The sequence below is a fragment of the Homo sapiens genome, chromosome 9 (genome assembly GCF_000001405.40).
Source record: "Homo sapiens chromosome 9, GRCh38.p14 Primary Assembly".
Classification (NCBI taxonomy): domain Eukaryota; kingdom Metazoa; phylum Chordata; class Mammalia; order Primates; family Hominidae; genus Homo; species Homo sapiens.
Window position 1 is genome coordinate 113,510,398 of NC_000009.12, and position 20,698 is coordinate 113,531,095.

At 50.3% G+C, this 20,698-nt stretch overlaps 1 protein-coding gene across 7 annotated transcripts in view, besides 9 other annotated features; it reads left to right on the top strand.

Annotated features, from left to right (window-relative positions):
• The window catches only part of RGS3 (regulator of G protein signaling 3), a 153,009-nt gene that overhangs the window by 65,668 nt on the left and 66,643 nt on the right, over positions 1-20,698 (top strand). For all 7 annotated transcript variants that reach the window (NM_144488.8, NM_001282923.2, NM_001394167.1 and 4 more), the window contains 4 exons: positions 4,061-4,257; positions 7,144-7,227; positions 12,533-12,644; positions 18,824-18,867. In NM_144488.8, the coding sequence (NP_652759.4) occupies positions 4,061-4,257; positions 7,144-7,227; positions 12,533-12,644; positions 18,824-18,867 (437 nt within the window). The remainder of the gene's footprint in view (positions 1-4,060; positions 4,258-7,143; positions 7,228-12,532; positions 12,645-18,823; positions 18,868-20,698) is intronic.
• Positions 1,602-1,651: an enhancer, noted in NCBI's record as "active region_28840". NCBI's record gives its function as "activates an Ori minimal core promoter by ATAC-STARR-seq in GM12878 lymphoblastoid cells {active_cell/tissue: GM12878}" and the evidence as "EXISTENCE:reporter gene assay evidence [ECO:0000049][PMID:35858748]".
• Positions 1,902-1,991: an enhancer, noted in NCBI's record as "active region_28841". NCBI's record gives its function as "activates an Ori minimal core promoter by ATAC-STARR-seq in GM12878 lymphoblastoid cells {active_cell/tissue: GM12878}" and the evidence as "EXISTENCE:reporter gene assay evidence [ECO:0000049][PMID:35858748]".
• Positions 6,838-7,087: an enhancer, noted in NCBI's record as "active region_28842". NCBI's record gives its function as "activates an Ori minimal core promoter by ATAC-STARR-seq in GM12878 lymphoblastoid cells {active_cell/tissue: GM12878}" and the evidence as "EXISTENCE:reporter gene assay evidence [ECO:0000049][PMID:35858748]".
• Positions 7,248-7,377: an enhancer, noted in NCBI's record as "active region_28843". NCBI's record gives its function as "activates an Ori minimal core promoter by ATAC-STARR-seq in GM12878 lymphoblastoid cells {active_cell/tissue: GM12878}" and the evidence as "EXISTENCE:reporter gene assay evidence [ECO:0000049][PMID:35858748]".
• Positions 7,779-8,068: an enhancer, noted in NCBI's record as "active region_28844". NCBI's record gives its function as "activates an Ori minimal core promoter by ATAC-STARR-seq in GM12878 lymphoblastoid cells {active_cell/tissue: GM12878}" and the evidence as "EXISTENCE:reporter gene assay evidence [ECO:0000049][PMID:35858748]".
• Positions 9,785-9,834: an enhancer, noted in NCBI's record as "active region_28845". NCBI's record gives its function as "activates an Ori minimal core promoter by ATAC-STARR-seq in GM12878 lymphoblastoid cells {active_cell/tissue: GM12878}" and the evidence as "EXISTENCE:reporter gene assay evidence [ECO:0000049][PMID:35858748]".
• Positions 9,855-9,904: an enhancer, noted in NCBI's record as "active region_28846". NCBI's record gives its function as "activates an Ori minimal core promoter by ATAC-STARR-seq in GM12878 lymphoblastoid cells {active_cell/tissue: GM12878}" and the evidence as "EXISTENCE:reporter gene assay evidence [ECO:0000049][PMID:35858748]".
• Positions 13,319-13,378: an enhancer, noted in NCBI's record as "active region_28847". NCBI's record gives its function as "activates an Ori minimal core promoter by ATAC-STARR-seq in GM12878 lymphoblastoid cells {active_cell/tissue: GM12878}" and the evidence as "EXISTENCE:reporter gene assay evidence [ECO:0000049][PMID:35858748]".
• Positions 14,010-14,820: an enhancer, noted in NCBI's record as "H3K4me1 hESC enhancer chr9:116286687-116287497 (GRCh37/hg19 assembly coordinates)". NCBI's record gives its function as "activates a minimal SCP1, AML or CMV promoter by ChIP-STARR-seq in primed H9 embryonic stem cells {active_cell/tissue: H9 hESC(primed)}" and the evidence as "EXISTENCE:reporter gene assay evidence [ECO:0000049][PMID:30033119]".

Below are 20,698 nucleotides of genomic sequence, written 5' to 3' on the forward strand. Positions count from 1 at the left end.
GCTTATTTCTGTAGGTCCAGTGCAGGACCCAGGGCCTGGCGGATGGCAGATACTCAGTAGAATTTTGGTTGTGTGACTGACTGAAGGAGAACGACTTGGGTTGCCTCTGAGGCTTTGGAGTCTGGTCGTGGAGGAGGGGGGCTGGAGAAGTGTGCTGCCTGGAGTGGGCCCATGCACACAGGCTGGTGTCTGGGGTTGATTCCTTCTCAGTTGAGAGGTACTTCTGTGTCTCCCTTCTGTGCTCCCAGCCTGTATCCATGTTTCATTCCCCTCTGAGAGTATAATACATAGTAAGTCAGCAAGAGCACAGTTATCTAAGCCATGGGGAAAGGGACAAGTGAGGAAATGATGATGATATTAATAACCATGCTAGCTCTTTGAATGCATTGTATTAAGATCCTGACCTTACTTTATGTATTCTTCATAATAATAAATCTTCACTCTTTACCAGGGATCAAGTCTTTGTAGCTCACAATTTTAGGATTCAGAGGAAAGGGTGAAATTCAGGGCACACAATTTCCCTTAAACACACTTGGGATTGTCCAGAGGTTAAGGCTGTCACCAGGGTGCTGGCTTCTTAGTCCCCCTCCTCTGGCTGGGCTGCCAAGAGATAGCCCTTCAGGAGTGTTGGGTCATCCTGAGTTGAATAGGAGGGAGAGTTAAGCCATCCTGAGTTGAATAGGGTCTGGTGCCCTTCCGGAGCCCAGAGTGCCTGCCCGGCTGTGGTTGGCATGTTTCCCAGGGCTGCTGGTGCCCTTGGCATTGTCCCTGCCCTGTAAAGGTGACCTGGCCTCAGATTCGCCACTGCCAGGGCAGGGTGGCTGCCAGGGCTCGCCTCAGAATCTGGGAGCAAAGCCCTGTAATTACTGTATTTGGTCGGTGAAGCAGGTGTTGGAGGAGAAAAGGGTGATATGGGGGTTTGGACCAGACATCGGTAGCAGGTGGGAAGTAAATGAGTTTGCCTTCACAGAGCTCAGTAACTGGGTTGCAAGCTGTACTGTTCTAAAAAAAAAAAAAAATCAGTTTTACAGAGCCACTCCCACTAGCCACATATTATCCAGGGGTGGGTGGAGATTGGGCACAAGGGCATGACTGCTGCATAGGTTGGGTTAATCCTGCCTTGTATAATTTACTAGCCAAATGACCAGTCACCCTACCATTCCAGACCTCAGTTTCCTTGTCTACAAAATGGGGCTGAGCCGACTTTTCCTCTCTGAAGGCAGAATTATGTGTTGGGTACTTCAGGTGAGGCCCTTGGTGAGGATTCTGTGACAGCCCTGGGCCCCTGGGCTAGAGAAGGGAAGAAATCAATTTTTTAAGAAGTCCGAGACTGGGGGCCCAGGACCCAGATTTTGGCATTTACAGTTGGTACCCATCTTTACTTTTGGTCTATTTTGTTCCAGTCATCTGCTTGTCAGTCCTGCATGGTTTTGCCTTCTCTGCTGTAGGCTTAACCATGTTAAATTAGACTGTCTAGATCCAGGCTGGCCATGGGGTTTCATTCACAGCATGGTTTGAGACCGAGCAGCCCTGCCTATCCTTCTACTAACCCTGGTAGGTGGATTACTTGGAGGCTTAGGATTTGTGATAATCCCCTGACTACTCACACTGTGGTACAATCCACCAAGCTCTTTTCCATCAGGTCTCTTGTGTGAACCTCCCACTGGCCCTGGGGCAAGCGAGGCAGCAATCAGTATTATCTCCACTTCAAAGTGGAGAAAACTTTGATTCAGAGAAGGAAGGAAGCTGTTCAGGGTTACACAGACTGTCTCTGACTTGGGAAGTCAGTGATCAAGCTCGGGTGTCTTATCCAACTCAAATTCAGTGATGATCTTGAGACTGAGGATGGTGCTTTAAACAAAGGGTCCAGGGCCTGGCAGCACACATCCCTCTGGGACTGATATGTAGGGCCAGATCAGACAAGGAGCTATGTGACATCTTCCTTGTATCTGTTCCTCCTGTGCCCATCCAGGGCTCATGCTCATTCTACTCCTCTCTCCGTGACTCACAGAAGAGGCAGGAAGTGGTTTGAGTTATCATGGTTTGAGCGCTGCCCCCAGATTTGTCTATGATCAGTGGTCACTTGTCAGGGGCACGGGGGGAGTCAACTTGTTTTTCTTACCTTGCTTGGTGAGAAGGGGCTGGGGGTGGGAGGAGGAAGCAAGTGTGAAACCTTCTGAGGTGAGTTTTATCTCCGAGGCTGTGGGTGCGCGTTGGTGGGGAGCTTCCCTGAGGTATAGCTGGGGTCAGGCCACCTGTTCCCCCCTCGCTGCCAGGGCTGCTGGCAGCAGAAGACAGCCTGCACCCAGGACCCAGGCTGGGCACCCAGGTCAGTGAGGACCTGGTAGTTGCCCATACAGTAGCAGGAATGCCTTAGAAGGGGCCCAGGAGTGTGTGGAGCCTGACTGCTTTGGAGTTTCCCTCCCACCTGCTTGGTCCAGGAACCCCTGACTTTTTAGCGACTTTGTGTTTTGTCCCTCTGCCTACTAGACGGAATGTAACAAAAACCTGTGCACAGGCTGGGCATGGTGGCTCATGCCTGTAATCCCAGCACTTTGGGAGGCTGAGGCGGGCGGATCACCTGAGGTTGGGAGTTCGAGACCAGCCTGACCAACATGGAGAAACTGTGTCTCTACTAAAAATACAAAATTAGCCGGGCGTGGTGGTGCATGCCTGTAATCCCAGCTACTTGGGGGACTGAGGCAGGAGAATCACTTGAACCTGGGAGGTGGGGGTTGTGGTGAGCCGAGATCGGCCACTGCACTCCAGCCTGAGCAATAAGAGGGAAACTCCGTCTCAAACAAACAAACAAAAAAACAACAACAAAAACGTGTGCACCACCCCTTGTTCAGGGTGAGGGGTGTGTGTCCATCAGTGTCCCCTTAAAGAGGGACCCCTCCCCCCACACCGCCGTTGCAGCCTCTGCTGTCCTTCCTGGGGGTGGTCTTGTTTCTCTGTTTCTCTCTCTCTCTCCTTATGATTAGAATGATTTGTGAGTTGGTGGCCAAGCCGGAGTACCTCCTGGGTACAGTGAAGCCTGGGATTCCCAGAGTCCTATGGGGCACCTGACTCCCAAACTTGCTTTTCCAAGTGGAGAAATCACAACAACGAAACAACACTGAGTTTGCAGCTAACTTTTATCACACACTTACTAGGTCCCAGGCACTGTTCTAAAGACTCTAAGTGAACTTAGAGTATTTCATTTAATCTTCACTGTAACCCAGTGAGCTTGGCACTATTGTTACAGTTGAGGAAATCAAGACTCTGAGGGTGAAATAAGTTGCCCAAGCTCACTGAGCTGGTAAGCAGGGGAGCAGGATTTGAGCACAGCCACCTGGCTTTGAAGCTTGTGCGCTTTCCTGTGACCTGGGGCAGCAAGTGCCACTCCTTATTCTAGACTGACTGGAGTGGGCCAGGCTGCTCTAGCTCCCTTGGCTACAGAGGGAGGACTCCAGTACATCCTGGGAAAGCCTTTGGTCTCCGCTGCCACTGCTGCAGAGAGTGGATTTTTGTCTGTGGGGCAGGGAGGGAGGAAACAGATTGGGCTGGGCTGAGCTTGTGCAGGGAGTAGTGGGAATGGTGTGGGGGTCTGTTAAGGAGAGCGCGTACCCTGCCACACAGGCTGGTCACCACTCTGCTCCAACTGATTGTTCCACGTGGGACTGTGGGCTCAGTGAGGACAGATCTTCTGATTTTTCAAATATGAGCGATTTCTTGATTTTTAAAAGACTGAGGCCAAAATGGAAATTCTGATCCGGGGCCTGGGTCAGCAGGTGGAGTGTGCTGCCTCCATCATAGCTGGTGGTGCCCAGCGCTGTGCTAGCCCTGGACTTGCTTGCTCACGTGTCAACGTCTCTCACTAGAGTGCGAGGGAATTCCTTGAAGCCCGAGCCCATGTGAAGCCTCCCTGTGTTTCAGCATCGTGCGCAGGGCCTGGCACAAAGTAGCTGCTCAGAAAGTGGTTGTTGACGGAATGAGTCCGTGTCCCCTGTTTCTACAGAGGGGACACCTTTGCAGGAGTGACGGAAATGTCTCATAGTCCCCCATCTCTGTTTCACAGAATCAGGGAGTCCCAGTAAAGGGAAGTCCTACACAGGCCTGGGGAAGAAGTCCCGGCTGATGAAGACAGTGCAGACCATGAAGGGCCACGGGAACTACCAAAACTGCCCGGTTGTGAGGCCGCATGCCACGCACTCAAGCTATGGCACCTACGTCACCCTGGCCCCCAAAGTCCTGGTGTTCCCTGTCTTTGTTCAGGTGAGCCCGTGGCTGGTCTTAAAGGTTCCCTCAGGAGGAACGGAGAAAGAGGAGGGCCCTTGCCCCAGGACTCAGGGATGATGACTTATCCCAGGACTGAGGGCCCTGTTTTGGGAAAGATAAGTAGCTTTAGATGCATAGGATTCTAGGGGCTTATACTGAGGGAGCAGAGATTTCCAGGGAGATACACAGGAAAAAGTGAGGCCGGGATAGCCCAGTAAGGAAAGGGTCCTCTCCTTCCCCCACCTCGCCTCCCCTTTCTCTGGGGAAAGGGCAGGTGCACCCCAGCTGCTTGTTGCCATGTCACAGGGACTGTTTGCCAAAGCTCCCGCTCCCTGGCTCACCCAGTGGTTTTTTATTTGAAAATAACTGAGGGAGACCCTTGGGGTCTGTGCCTTATCTGCTCTCCCTGGTCTCTGCAAACAAGTTTGGCCTGTATTCACTGGTGGCCTGCGATTCACTAGATCGCTCTTATTCTCCAACGTCAAACAAAGTGCTTGAAGAAAGATAATGAAACAAACAGCAAGCTGGGCCTGAAATCCCAGCTACTTGGGAGGCTGAGATGGAAGGATCGTTTGAGGCCAGGAGTTCGAGGTTACAATGAGCTGTGATCATAACCCTGCACTCCAGCCTCTTCTTCTTCCCCCTTTTCCTCCCCATTTATCTCTCCTTCTCTTTAAAAATAACCTTTATTGGGCCAGGTGTGGTGGCTCACGCCTGTAATCCCAGCACTTTGGGAGGCCTAGGTGGTGGATCACTTGAGGTCAGGAGTTCAAGACCAGCCTGGTCAAGATAAAAACCCCATCTCTACTAAAAATACAAAAAAATTAGCTGGGTGCGGTGGCAGGCGCCTGTAATCCCAGCTATTCGGGAGGCTGAGGCAGGAGAATCGCTTGAACCTGGGGGGTGGAGGTTGCAGTGAGCCGAGATCACACCACTGCACTCCAGCCTGGGAGACAGAGTGAGACTCTGTCTCAAAAAAAAAAGAAACAAAACAAAAACCTAAAAATCTTTATTTATTCCATCACCCAGATATGATAGTGTGAACATTTCAGCATCTTTTCTGTGTGCATATGCACATTAAAAAACAGACCTTATTCTATATTTTATATCATGTTGCCTTTTTAAAAGGAAAATTGTAGCATGAACCTTTCCCACACCACTAAATGCTCTGTGTTTTACGGTGGTTGCCCACTCTTCTTTTATATGGGTATACTGTATTTATTTAACCAGTTCTGTATTCAGATACTTCTGTCTACTCTTTTGCTATTGTAAATAACCCTGTGATGAAAATCCTTGCGCATGGATTGCCTCTCTGATTATTTTCCTTGGGAGAGATTGCTGAAAGGGAAATGACTGGGTCATGGGTCATAAACATTTTAAAGGCTCTTTACACATATTGACAAATTGCTTTGCAGGAAGATTCTAATGGTTTATCGTCTTATCAGCAGCATAGACATGACTTGGCCCCACGGGCTTCATTTCTGCCTGTGCCTCTCTGGTCTCCCTGGCATCCCAGTCTGAGCCTGTCACTGTCCAGTAGGCACACTTTGTTAGGATGCAACACATCTCTGGGAGCTCACACGCCTCCCCTTAGACAGCTCTGTCAGCAGGGCCTGGCCTTAGCCTTTCTGTGGGTCTCTTCTCTTTCTTAGCATGTGACACAAAGTTCTTGGCATCTACAATGTCTAATTTTCTTTCTTTTTCTTTTTTTTTTTTTGAGATGGAGTTTCACTCTTTTTGCCCAGGCCGGAGTGCAAGGGTGCGATCTCGGCTCACTGCAACCTCCACCTCCCAGGTTCAAGCAATTCTCCTGCCTTAGCCTCCCAAGTAGCTGGGATTACAGGTGCCCACGACCATGCCTGGCTAGTTTTTTGTATTTTTAGTAGAGACGGGGTTTTACCATGTTGGCCAGGCTGGTCTCGAACTCCTGACCTCAGGTGATCCACCCGCCTCGGCCTTCCAAAGTGCTGGGATTACAGGCATGAGCCACCACATGCGGCCTGTGTCTAATTTTCATGTTCATTTTAATATTTGTATAAGAAACTACTTCTATTTAAGAGACAGTCTCTCGCTGTGTCCCCCAGGCTGGAGTGCAGTGGTATGATCACAGCTCACTGTAACCTCAAGCTCCTGGCCTCAAATGATCCTTCCACCTCAGCCTCCCAAGTAGCTGGGATTTCAGGTCCAGCTTGCTATTTGTTTCATGATCTTTCTTTAAGCACCTTGCTTGATGTCATGTACTTAGAAGCCATATTAGAAATATACAGTCATAAGGACAAGTCCTGCTGGGTAATCCAGAGCTTAGGGAGCTTCCTCTGGGCTGGGCTGGGCAAGGTGAGGGAGTAGGGTGAGAGGTTTGGGTGATAATTGACCCTTGGGGGATTGCCTGAGAAGGAGACAGTTCAAGTGTGCTATGAGTGCAGAGCAGGGACTGGCCTGGCTTTGAAGGGACTCAAGTGACCAAATCTCTTGGCATGTGGCTCTCAGGATGCCTCTTGGTCCTGTGAGGCATGAACAGGATAGATGGGGGATGGCGGGGGCTGGGAGGGCCCAGGAGCCCAGTGCAGTGGGGGGTGAGAGCTGGGGCTGAGGACTGCAGAGGGCCTAAGCCTGTGGTTAGACTTCCTGTCAATGAGTGTAGCTCTCACGGTGAGGGTTGATGGGGAAGGTGGCAGCAACAGTTCCACAGGACAGCAGCGTCTCTCTTTCTGTTTCCATCTTATGTATGAGGGGGTGTGTGGGTTCTCGGGTCGGTGGCGGGCTGACAGTCTTCTCTGGGTCAGAGGGTTCTCTGTGGCTGGCTTTGACAAGCTGCTGCTTCCTCCCCCCGGGTCCTCACCCAGCCTCTTTTTGAACTGCCCACTCAGCCTGCTTTATTTCCAGCCTCTAGATCTCTGTAATCCTGCCCGGACCCTCCTGCTGTCAGAGGAGCTGCTGCTGTATGAAGGGAGGAACAAGGCTGCCGAGGTAAGACTTTCACCTGCATTTTTTAGGGGGCTTTCTGGGTGGGCTTCATTGGCATTCTCCAGGCCCCTCACTTTGGTCTCTTCCTGAGTATCTTAGAATTGTACATTCTCAGGGTAGGGGAGACCTGAGAAGGACCCCGCCACTCTCCCTAGCAAAGGCTACCCAGCTTTTTCTTGTACATCTCCTTTCAAAAGCTGTCGAATCCTTCTTTGATGGTTAGAAAGTTTCCCCAGCCCCTAAAGACACCCCATTGTTTATCCCACCTTCCTCTCAGGAGCAGAAGAGATGGCAATTTACCCTGGCTGTGGGGAGTGACTTTGGTGGCAGGAAGAGTAAAGCTATTAGCCAAAGTGAATTTTTAGACCAGCATCAGTTTACCTGAGTTTTCTGGGCCTGTTTTAACCCAAATCCCATGTCCTCTTCTGAGAGACGAGTCTATGATTTCGCCTGGGTTGTAGCTCTGCCTGTGGGGTGCTGACATGGGACCTGTGTCACCCTTCCTGGGAGCTGGCCTGGGATGCTTTTCTCTAATTGGGAGAACTTCATTCATCTACACAACCCCAGAGCTGGTCAGTTCAGTCTCTGAGCTTAAACTACTTGGGTACAGAAGTTGGAGCCCTGGGCTCTGCCCTGGCTACCTGGGGCCATGGGGTGAGGGTAGCAGGCTCTTTGCAGATCAGGCCCCAATGTAGAGCTGCCTTGGCTGAGTCGAGTGGCAGCTTGGGGTAGTGGAAAGATCAGGAAACTTGGAGACAGGAAGTTTGTATCGAGACCCAGGTCTGCTGCTGGCTCACATGTGATTTCTTCCTTCTTCCTCAGTCTTTCCATCTGAGCAGTAGGTATGTGTGTATTTGAGGCAGTAAGGGCAGGGTCAGAGGTTGGTCTGTAAGGACGCTTTAAACCTCAGCCTTCTGGGACACTATGTGTGACTGTGGCTGAAGCAGGAGGTTGGTTTGTTTTTTAAGTAAGCAGACTGGACTGGAACTCATCTATTCCAAATGTACATTATCTTTTTCAAGGGAGTGCCCTGGGGGACTGCATGCTCCCTTCCACCGCTCGCTGTTGCCTACTGTATTTCTGGACCTCCTCTTTTCCGAACCTCCTCTTGGGAACTTTGCAAACTTTGGGAACTTAACAATCTTTGCATATCTTCTGAATTGTCTCAGTGGGAGTAAAACTTCATCTGTTGGGAGGGATTTAAGTTTTAGGGATGAGAAGTCACTTAGAGCTATGTTTGGTGAATGAGAGTGTGGTGGACCTAAGTCTGGCATCCAAGGGTCAGAAATTGAGGTGTGGCCATAAATTCACAGACTCATAAGAAGCCAGTTAGAGATGGCAGCCACCCTGAAACATATACATAAGTCTAAATTCACTCTTCTGTTTGTCCACTTACCCTTGAATCTGCAAACATTGAGCACTTATTGTGTATCCTCATTGTGTATGCATTTTACATACTTGACCCCAATTAGCTCTTGCAGCACCCCCATGAAAGGCACGATTGTCCCCACTCTGTAGTTAAGGCAACTGAGGCTCCAGTGAGATTCACTGGGACCCAAGAGTCTCCAGGCTGGTAAGGAATGGAGCCGGGTCATTTCTGGCTCAGTGATGCTTTCCATGACCCCACACTGCTTCTGGCATGTCTGCATAAAGACAAACTAAGGAACACAAGCTGAAGCCAGAGCCTTGTGACAGTTGCAATTCGTCCAGAAAACCCTGCCTTATAGATCTCTGGAGACTTAGAACCAAGAGACCCCTCTCCCTTAGCCTTGAAGATTGAAGGAAACAATTTGAAGACAAGTAAAATAAATATTAATGTATTCCTTTTTGTTGAAGTATGATGGCAACCAAACATGTAGATCTGGGCATCCTGTCATATTACTCACACCAAAAAAAAAAAAAAAAAAAAATTCAAAGGGATTTGGATAAATTCATGAAATCTCAGCATTGGTTAGGCTTTCAGGAGTCATCCATGCTAATTGCTTCCTTGTAACTTTCCAGTTAAATGGTTTTCTGATTGGTGCTTGAATCTTCTAGGGCAGCCCATTAGAGCAGTGGTTTTTTTTTTTACTGGGAAGGGCTAAATTGTAGAGCATTCTCCCTTACACTCAACAGAAATCTTTATTTGTGGAATGTTCCTCCTTGGTTCTTTGTCCCATCACTTCTCTGGGCATGCTCAAGTTTGCTAACATCTGTGAGCTGATCCAGTCCCGCACCGTGAACTACCCTCATCACAGCCCCTTCCAGAAGTAATAGACTTGATTAATGTGCCCTGAGGTCTATGGCCCTGTGCGAGGTTCTGGGAATACCATGAAGCACAAGACAGACACACCCTCCCTTTACACACTGACTCATGGAGTTTACCATTAACTAAGGCACCAAAGTCTTTTTGGTAAACTCTGCTCTTAGGTCAGATTCCCAAGAAGAAGCTTAGTTAGGGCCACTTGGGAGAAGCCACCCTCCAAGTGGTAAGGACCCCCTTACCAAGTGATCCCTCAACTCTGACCCTTTGGAAAATCAGATGTGTCCTTGGAGCAAGTGTGGGGAAGACACTGGGTGACCCCCGTGGCCTGTGGAAGGCGACAGGTGATTGGGCCATGGAGATGGGCATCACTCTCCCATGGGCTGCCGTGGCCCCTGCTGGTGCTGGTGAGATGGGGGAGTCCACATGCCCTCCCCGGCACGCTTGCCCCTCTGCTCTGCCTCCAGCTGTGTGCCAGCTCTGGCCTTTCCCTGACCCAACCTTTGGGAAATTTTTCATTTATGCCTTAATCACTTCCTGTCTAGACCATATTCTCAGCCCTGGGAATCTGAGCCAGAGTGGTGGCCTGGGCCTTTTCTCACCTTGCTCATGGTTCTTCCCCAGTTGCTGGTGGCTCCTCCTACTTGCCCTACTTCCACCCCTCTCTGGGCCTGGGCTGTTTTTTTTTTTTTTTTTTTTTTAAACTTTCTAGGCTCCTGACAGATTGTCGGCTCCAGCCCTTCCCCTGCCAGCCTCCCTCTGGGTCTGGAGGTGACTACCAGATTTCCCTTGAGTCAGCGACACGTTTTGTGGGACCCTGAGGGTTTGCTTTGTGTTTCTGGCTAGTTTAGAGCCTTCTTTCCATTGCTCGGACTTTGAAGTCTTCTCAGACAACCAATTCCTTGACTCCTTCTGAGCTCTTGAGTCATTTTCTTCACCTCATCTCTTAACATTATTATTATCATTATTATTATTAATTATTATTTTTGCCTCATTTGCTCCACCTCTTTGGTCTCTGGATTCTTTCACATTCAGGAACTGCACAGCTGTAAGCACATTGGTATCTCTCTGTATAGTGATAGCTTTAGGTCAGCTATACCTGGGTAATGGTCCCTGGCTGTGTGGCCATGGACAGGTCACTTAACCTGTCTGAGCTCTAGGGTCCTCATCTGTAAATGAGGGCAGTGGTGTTATTTATAAGTGAGGATCCACTGAGCAGAAAGGAAGCGTTCAACACTTGAAGACTTCTCTTGGGCTGCACTGAGACAGGGCTGTGGTGGGAAGGGTTAGGGTCACTACCAAGATGCCTTATAGCCCAGGGTTCTGGAGTCCTCATGTTTGGGCCCCATTGGAGAAGCCAAAGCCCCTGAGAGCTCCTTCAAGGACGTCTCCCTGTTGTCTCTGCAGCCCAGATTTCCTCAAGCCTCTGTATTTGTGCTACACTCAAGAAGCCAAGCCATATTTTGATATATATTCTATATTTTTAAATTACAAAAGTAACAGTGATTGCAAATATAATACACATTAAATCAAAATGTATCAATTAAAATCCCACTCCCTGGAGTGAGGAGTGTGGCATCTTAACTATTTTAAAAATGTATAACTATAGAGAAATGTGTTGTTTTGTTTTACAAAATTGGATTCTATGCTAGATATTTTTGCACATTGTACTATTTTGATTTACGATAGACAGATTTCTATTTCTGCCCACATAGCTCTACTTTATTTTTTAATAGTTGCATAAAATTCTGCCGTATGAAGTTAGCACAATTCATTTTATTCATCTTCTCTTGATGAATGTTTGTTATTTTCTTAAATTACAAAAATGCTGCTGAGAACATCCTCATATGTTCATATTTATACCTCCTTGTAAGTATTTCTGTAGGATAGAGTCTCAGAAGTGAGGCTGTGGGGTCATCTTTAACAGGTTGATAGCTGAATGTCAACCTGTTGGCTTTTTAAATGTCACCAACAGTCCAACACACACTCACGGTACCCTTCAGTGCATGCCAAGCCCTTCTGGCTGGTTCTTCTTCAGAAGAGACAAGGTGTCAGGTGTTTGATATCTCAAAGGGAAGTTCACATACTTAATAACACTTTGTTTTCTTTGGAGAATCTAAAATTGGATTTTATTGCTTTTGACTAAAGGCCACTGCAGGATTTGCAAAACAAAGAACAGTGTAATCTTTAGTGGCATTAAAGGATCAAGTGGATTTTCTTAGCATAAAAATATGCTGAGCGTGCCTGTTGGTTTACCTATAATGTCTAAGAATAGCCTCTGCCTTTATTTTTGGAGCAGCTAATGCATGAAAAAGATAAAAGTGATGTCCATGTCTGTACTAGAGTGTGAGTAACTGGCTGTTTCTTAAACTGATTTCTCATTAATGCAATTAAACTTATCCACAAGGAATTTGATAATATTAGCTCACATTGTGTGGCGCTTTACTAGGTCTGCAAAAAGCTCTTGGAAGGATCCTGTAAGAATGCCAAGCAGGGACTCTTCTCCCTGTTTGGGCTGTTGAGAAAACTGAAGGGGTTAAGGGGTTTAAGCCAATATTTTTGTGGCTAGTTGGTGGCAGAGCTGGGATAGGAGCCTCCTGACTTCTGACTTTCAAGTCCAGTGCTCTTTCAGCCAGACACTTAGAGCAGAATAAAAGCAAATATGGAAAATCTTACAGCTTAAGGATTGCTCCAAGCCCCAGGTGCTGGGCTGGAGGCTCCAGGAGCATTTGGTCAGAGATGTAGGCTTCGGGGATCAGGCTGTGGAGAGGCTTGCAGAGACCAGCTGCCATGGAGGGTGAGGGCCACTTTTCCCCTTCTGTTTGCTTTTTTCCTACTTTGAGGAGTGGAAGTATAGGAAGCTGGAGGGTGATGGGGCCATCTTGACTGCAGGTCAGGACTGCCCTTGGCTGAGGCTGTACTGAGCACTGCTCCTGGTTTTGTGTGAGATGATGAGGATGCATTATCTGGGGAGGCTGTGGCTCCCCACCTTCTCGGGGAGGTTGTGGCTCTCAGCCTCCAGAGGACAGCAAAGTAGCCAGTTCTGTTTGCTCTCTGTCAACCCAGGTGACACTGTTTGCCTATTCGGACCTGCTGCTCTTCACCAAGGAGGACGAGCCTGGCCGCTGCGACGTCCTGAGGAACCCCCTCTACCTCCAGAGTGTGAAGCTGCAGGAAGGTAAGCAGATGCCGTAGGTGCCCAGAGCCCCTCTCAACTTGCCCCAGTCCCACTGCTCTGGGCAGCCCTCTGGGATCTGGCTGCCAGTCATCCGTAGGGCACTGGAGTGTGTGCTGCTGGGCTCTGTCCATGGGCTAGTAGGTCTCAGACACTGGCATTCTTTCTAGGCTGGTAAGCCTTCTGATATACCTGAGGTTTTCAGGGAAGTTTCTATTCTAGAGACTTTCCAGAGAGGCTGTGGAGTCGGGTAGGAAGAGCTTTGGATTCAGACAGACCTGTGCTCAAATCTTGGCCCTGTCCCTCCATACTGGGATGACTGTGGGCACTGTACTCAGCCTCTCTGAGACTGTTTCCTCCCGTGTAAATAGGGATAAAAATAGTAACCGAGAAGGTTGCTGTGAAGATTAAGCTAGGTCATAAATGCAAAGTGCCTGGCCCATAACAGGTGCCCAATAAATACTTGTTGCCACCCACTCACCCCACAGATCTGTGGACAGAGACCGCAACTCGGCTCTACTCAGCTGCATGGCCCTGCGGAGCCCAAGCCGCTGGGGCTCAGGCACATGTGGGAGCGTGGAGGGAATTTCTAACCCAAACTTTCCACCACGCCCTCCACTCGTGGGAGGGGAAGCCAGCTGGGAGTATCTGTCAGTGGTTTGGTTTGGCGCCTGAGGTCTCTGCTGAGAGGGGCTCGGTTTCCTCTCCCAGATCATGAAAACAACAGACCCGTTTGAGGATGGGTGACAGGGGCAGAGAGGAAAATATTACCCAGTGAAAGAATTCTGTTTTGGTGGGGTTTGCTCGGGAAAGCTTCCTGGCTGTTTGCAAACTGTCCTGCCTGCTTAGTGCCTGAGTGTTCCTCCTCCTCGGAAACCCATTCAGTATGAGAACCGCCACTCTCACTTCCCCACAGGAAGCCACTGACAACTTCTCCATCTCGGGCTCTGGCCTTTCCCCTGTCCATGGAAGGGAAAAGCAAGTCACCTCACTGGGTCAGCTCCTCCCTCCAGGCGGGCTCAGCCTGACCACAGGGCGGTGGGAAGAAGCCGCCTGAGCAACTCCAGTTCCGGCACTGGCATTCCCAGAGTTCCCCATGCCTGCTGGAGGGCATTAGGTTGGAGTTCCAGTGGCCTCTGTTCCTGGGCTTTCCTGCCATCCTCTCCATACCCCCAGCCCCTCCCTGGCTCCCTCACACCCAGCTTCCCATATGCCCATTCTCCAGCCTGCAGTGTGCATATTCACACATGCACTCACACCGAGTCCCTTCTTCTCTGCTTCCCCCTCCCTGCCCCCAGCCCAGACAGTCTAGGACCCCATCACATTTGAGGGAGGAGCACTGGATGGGCCAGGGCTCAGTAATATGCCCTGGTTGGTACATGAATGGAACCCTCTCTCTGTTGTGCACATTACAAGGCTGAAGCTATAACCCAGGACCCTGGTTTGCTCAGCTTCCTGCGAGAAGGAGGGAGGGAAGAGAAGCAAGGCTCACACTGGCTACAATTTGGGTGGAGGTGGAGGTTGCGGGGAGAAGGTAGTAGAGGAGCTGAGGGCAGTGGCTGGGAGTCTGGGATCTGGGCGTGGTACTGCTGTGCTGTGCTGTGTGGCTTCAGCTGGCCCTTTCCCTTTGCCTTCAGTTTCTCTGACTGGGAACTAAGGGTGGGGCCAGCGCTTTGTGTCCCTCCCAGCTCTGATGCCCTCACACAGAACCCCAGAGCTTGCTGTGAGCAGCTGCTGGACCATGCCTATATTATCCTGCCTCTACCCCTCTGGGGGCCTGGTTGGGGAATTGGTTGGGATCTCCCCTTCTGGAGGCCCCAGGCCCCAGACTTGAAGCTAGGGGTGGGGTGTGCTCCATCCTCCACTGGGTTGTGATGGTCAAGGTGGGTGGTGTGGGGCCTTGGGGTGTCACAGAGACTCTCCAGGTGCTGAGCTGCTTTTGAGCTGCAGCCTTGTGTAAGCTTGGCACTGTGGCTTCCTCTCCCTGCAGATGGAGGGCGAGCTGCACAAGGGCTGAGGATGGCCAAGGCAGTACTTCTCAGGAGAGACCACCATGGACGGAAGAGCCCCTTGGGTTGGTGTGGGAGAGGGGCCTGTGTGTGTGTGTGTGCATGTGTCTGCCTGCCCTGGATTTTTTTGGATAGATGGTTTGGGGCCAAACTCCAGGGAGCCTGAGAGCTGCTGAGAGGGATGGAAATGGCTCCATTTCTAGGTGCACAATCCAACGCTTAGATTTCTTTCCAGGCACCGATAGAGCCCTTGCCTTCCCCCAGCTGCCCCCACTCCCCTGAGACAGGCTTGTGGGCCCAGAGGCTCATGGAAGTTTAGTGACCCCTTCTCCTGCAGTCTAAATTGGAGCCGCAGGACCCAGTGTTCTGAGTCCTGGCGTCCAATTTCCTGCCTGCTTCCCCTGTGCCCCAAGAGACCTGCTGCAGCAGCAAGGGCCTGAGGCTTTTAAGGGATGCATTTGGGACCTCAGCTGGAGCCTCTGTTGGCAGAATGGTCTCTGATTAATATTGCTCATGACTCCTAGGTTTCTTATTTGTCTCTTTCAAACCACCATGTATGCAGAATTCAATTTGGGGCAAAGAAGATGGCAAACAAGGAATGCACCCAACCTTTCTGGCTGGTTGGGGCTGGCAGGGGCTGCTCCCTGGCAGGGGAGAATCAGCCCCATGCTAGGGACCAAGGTATCCCTGTGTAACTTGTCTGAAGAGTCCTTAGCTCCATTGGCCAAGCATACTCCCAGGGCCTAGCCTGGGGCATGGAACACTGTGGGTGCCTAATCAATGTTTGTTGTGTGAATGAATGACTAAAAGGAGAGCAGAAGTGTTGCCTCAGTTCGGGAGCTGGGGGTGCACCTCTCCCCCAGGGCTCCTGGGTGGTAGTCACTTAAATCTTGTCTGGCCCCGTCCTGCCCAGCCTCCCCTAGGCTTCAGCAGGGCTGAATGGCAGTGTAATGGGAACAGGCGGAGAGCTGGCGCTAACAATTGGAACATCTCCGGTCAGCCGGGGCCCATTGTGGTCTCTTCCTGCCTCTGCTGCCCGCTAGCTTTGCTACTCTTTGTGTTGCTGCCTCCCAGGTGGCCAGCGTCATGCCCATAGTGTGTCTTTCTGGCCTGCTCTGGTGTCTCAGAAGTGGCCTGGAAATGTTTTGCTGATTATTAGGCTCTCCAGTCACCTTAGAGCCAGGTAGGCAGTTGCAGAAAGTCAGTTGCTTTGGTCTCAGCTGCTGGAATGTTTGGAGTTAACTCTTGGTTAGTCCTCATTTTCTGAGCATGTCCTCAGAACCCACATCAGTGATAGCAGTGCTGGGGTGGTAGCAGTGGAAGGGACACGTTGCCACCTCTGGGGCTCATAGCCTGGTGGAATGCAGACGAGTAACCGTGGAGGGGTAGAAGTGTGACATGGTGGTCAGGACGTAGGCTCTGGAGGCAGGCAGTCCTCACTTCAAAGCTCGGCTTTGCCACTTACTCAATGTATGCCCTATTCATGTTGTTCTCCCTCCCTGGGCCTCAGTCTCTATATCTGGAGAATGGGGACAATACCCCTTCTGCTTGCCTCAGACAGCGAAGGGGGTTTGCTTAATGGTTGAGTTTTGGATCTCAGATCAGGTGAGAGAGGGCTCTGGGAAAGTGACGGAGGGGTCAGACCTGGGCCAGGAAGCTATCTCTGGGGCCCACCCAGCCCGTGATTGGGGATCCCTCCTGCATGGTCCATGTATTCCTTGCGGGAAGCGAGGTCCACTCTGGAACCCAATGGCTCCTTGTTGCATTTCAAAATGCCAAGGCAGTTGGAATGTTTAAAGGAAAACCCAGATGCGTGCTGCCCTTCTCCTCCCTCCTAGCCCCCAGTTCTAATGTTCTAGAAGGGGCAGAATTTCTCTCCTGGGTCAGCCCCTTGCAGCCTGTTTTCTACAGCTGCAGCTCCTCTCCGGCACCCTTGGCTTCCTCAGTTTGTTGTTCTTTTATGAGGCTCTGAACCATGCTGAGTGCTGCCCCCATTCCGTCCTCCTCTCAAAGTACTGCCAGCACAAGGCTGTGACGTGGAACAGATTTCAGAGAAAGTTTGCAGTAATGCAGGGAGGTTGGGGAAGGAGGCAAGGGTGTCACAGCACAGAAAAGTTGTCAAGGCAATCCATCCACCATTCCCTGCCATAGGAAATATGTCTCAGGGAGTGTTCCCCCAACCTCAGCCTCCTATTTCCCTGCAGCTCTCATCTCCTGGACTTTCCTCTCCCTTCTAGAACCTTCTCTTTTCTTGCCGCCAGCTTCTAACCCCCAAGTTTCTGTTATTTTCTTACATAGATCCTTTTGACTCTTACTTGGCACTAGGATCTGCTTCTGGAAGGCCAAAGAAATGTCCCAGTGTGTTCTCTTAAACAAAAGAAACCACCTCCTCTTGTCTCCACCCTCAGCAACACAAGGAACCAGCAGAAGCTTTGAAATTACAGTTTTCTTAAACATGATGGACTTCTTAGGCAGGACTCCCTCCCTCCCCAGTCCATCGCTAGGTGGGAAGAAGTAGAAAGATTTATTCTCCCTAAGTCCGAAGTGAACCCTCATTTACATAAGGGAGATTTTTTAATCTGGCTGTGCCTGGCAGCCCTTGGCCCTAGGGATAGCTTTGTCTCAGAACTGCCCATATACCTTGCTTCGAGGGGGCCTGGCCTTCACCCACACCAGGGCCCTCATTCACTGCTTTTCTTAGGAATTGACTTGACCCACAGTCTCTATTTTTATCTTGCTGTCTTCTCTTTGCAACTAATTTTGCTGTCTTTGACAATTTCTTTACTTCAAGTATGTGTTAAGGGTTCTACCTTGAGCCCAGCACTGGCCTGGTGCTTTGAGAGGACAGAGGAGCTGGATAGGGCATATGTGGTGGGCATTTGAGAGGTGGGCTGTGTAGTGGTAGGAGTGTGGGCTCTGGATCCAGGCTACCTGGGTCTAAATCTTGATTCTCTTCCTTACTCCTGGGCAAGTTACTCAATTCATCTGTGCCTCAGTTTTCTCAAGAGTCTTGGGTGAAAAGAGCCCTGTCTTCCAGGGGTTGTTGTGAGGGTCAAGCATATCCATGGGAAGCATAAGGAACAGTGGTTGGCATGGAGCACTGTGGTGCGCTAAGGTCCTGTGGCCCTTTAAGCATTTACTGTTTTACGTGCTGCGTGGTTGCTTCCCTCAACAATGACAGTTTGCCTAGTGAGACCCATTGCACGGTCACAGGGAGTAACCATCCCAGGACCGTGCCCAGACAAGTGACCTAAGCGGGAGTGCTGCCAGGCCCTGAGGAGTGGCTGCAGTGGGCAGGGCAGGTGTCCTGGAGGGAGGGACCAGGCTGCTTCTCTGCACTTGCTCTTCCTTGAACACAATTTGTGCTTCTCTTGGAATGTCCTTTCTTCCCACCTTGAGTCCAAACTCAACAGGGCCCTCCTTCAGGAAGCTTTTCCCAGAAGCTGGGTGTCATCTCCTGGTCCTCCTGCTTCTGAAGCGCTCTGAGCAATCACCTTCCCTCGGCGTTGACATTGGACCTTAGCTCCTCTGCTGAAGGAGGCAGTTGCTGACAGCCCTCCCAGATGCCTCCCAGGTGGAGGGGAGTTAGTGAATGGTTGCAACTGGGATCCTGGACTAGGGGTTAGGAGGCTATAGGAAAACATACAGAGAGGTGAAGCCTGGGCCTGGAAGCTGTCTCTGGGCTCCACCCAGTCTATGACAGGGTATCCACCTGCACAGCCCACCATTCCTTGGCGGAAAACAAGCCTCCCTATTGAATTTCAAAATGGCAAAGGCAGTTGGAGCATTTAAAGGAAAATCCAGATGTGTGCTGCCTCCAGGTCTCTCACTGCAGAAATCATGGAAGGGAGGAGGCCTCCTGGGATGGATGAGGGCTCCCCCCAGTACCTGATGCCCAGAGGGTGCTGCTGGCTACCTCTCCTGGGGATGAGGTTTCAGCATTCCTTGGGCCAGGCTGACCCGCAGGCAAATGCCTTAGAGCTGTACATTACCCTGGTTAGTTACGTAGCCAATTTTCCTCCAGAGACTTCCCTGCCTCCCATGCCTGCCTCTCTCTTTTCCCAGGAGGTGCCACACACAGCCTTCTGGGCAAGACAGCTGACTGTGCTGGAGCAAACTGCTGAGGCTCTTTATCCAGTTCTAATGCAAATCTTACTTTTTGTTCCCTCAAAGGTTCTTCAGAAGACCTGAAATTCTGCGTGCTCTATCTAGCAGAGGTGAGTCCTTTCCTCTGGATTTGAGGAGAGAGATCTTCGACCTGGTGCTTGAGGGGAGACACTGGGCTGGGATCTAGACCAGTGTTCTGATGCCAGCCTCCATACCCACTCATGCCGAAGTCCTGGGCAAGGCCAGAGTAGCGGTTTTTTGCTAGGTAGAATGGGACTAGCCATTCCTGCCCCTGCCTCTCTCACCTCTGTGTTAAAGAGCAGTGGACAGGAAAGTGCTTAGAACAGACCCTTGAGATTTTCTGTGCAGGACCTCCTGAACTGCAGGAATCTCAGTGGGGGTGTGGCCGGGCAACTGTGCATCACCCTGTTTACTGGTTAATAGCCCTTCCTCTAGAGATCGCCCTGATTCCTGTACCTGCCTCTTGCTTCCACGTTTTCCAGGAAGTACCACCAACGACCCCTTGTACAGGGTCTTGTCAGTGTTTCAAAAGGCCTGAAGGTATTTGTACCTTTACCTGGGCCAGATAATACAGGCTAAAACAAACATCCAGTGTCTGGGTTTCAGGCTGGAATGATACCCACTCAGTGTGGTTGAGATTCCTGGTTATCTCAGTCTGATCAGAAGCTTAGATAGGCAGTGCTGTGCCTTTGCTGAGCAACATCTGGCAAGTAACTTATTACTTGATTTGGTTTGGTAGATAAAATATCATTAAGGCTGGGGTTTAACCCAAGAGATCCTTGAAGATGAAAAAGTTGAGAGCCACTGAGCTATACAAATACTTTTCAATTTTCGGTGAATTTTCTATTCACTGCAGGGCGGTGTCTGTTCAAGCAAGGATGCATTAGACACATTCCTGCCTCTGCCTTCGCTTAAGTTTGTCTCATGCAACAGTCCAGGGAACCTGTTTTGTGGGAGGTGGGACATGGTCTATATTGGCTGGCCAAGAGGAACACACCCCTTTGAGAAGGAACTGTACACAGTTTGTGATTGAAAATCATTCTTTCAGTTCCTGGCTAAGAAGTGCAAGGCCTAGAGAGAGTTTTTGAACAGCCCCCTGGAGGAGAAGACAGTTGATGAGAAGTTAGCTTTAGCGGAGGGCAGAGAGTTCCAAAGAGGCAGTGGACATTGCTGGGGCTCAGCTGGGGAACTGGGCTGCCTGAAATACAGACCTGAGGGCCAAGAGGGCATTGGATGTCCTCCCCTGTGTCAGGCACATTCCCCCGGAGCACAGGAAGTGGCTGATGGAATCACTTCAGTGCTGGAGGGTGTTTAGTTCCACAGAGCCAAGCAAGCAGAGAGGAGAAGCCATGACCAGGCTAGGCTCTTCCTCCAGCCTCACCACACTGGGTTCTGATTCTCTGGGGCAGTTCCTGAAAGGAGGCTCCAGGTTCTTTAATGCCAATAGAGCTTCCTTCCAGGTTGGGTTAGTTTTTTCCCAGAGAAAAGGACTTCTGCTCCATTAGTTTCCTGGGATCTGTGACGTGCTGGCTTCCAGAGATTGTGAAGGGATATTGATTTGCGGCTTTTTGTTTCAGTAAAGTGCCAGGTGATCTGATCTCCAGGGGCTGTGGGATTGAGCTTACAGGCAGCTAGAAGCCTCTCTCTTCTCTTAATGGGTTGCTATTTAGAAGAAGTACTATAATTCAGGGAAGACAAGATGCCTTCTTGCTCTGTAGCCTGGACCACTCTTAACATGGGTGGTTTTGGATCCTATCAAGAGCCTGAAACTCACATCTTAGTTGGAACTTCTGACAAGTGATTTCTCTTCATTGCCTGACATGCAGGTGGCATCCAGAGAAGAAAAAGAGAGTCAGGATTTGGAGAAGTTTTTTGACTCTGTATTGAGAAAGGCCCAATTGCCTGGGTGATGGCAGCTCT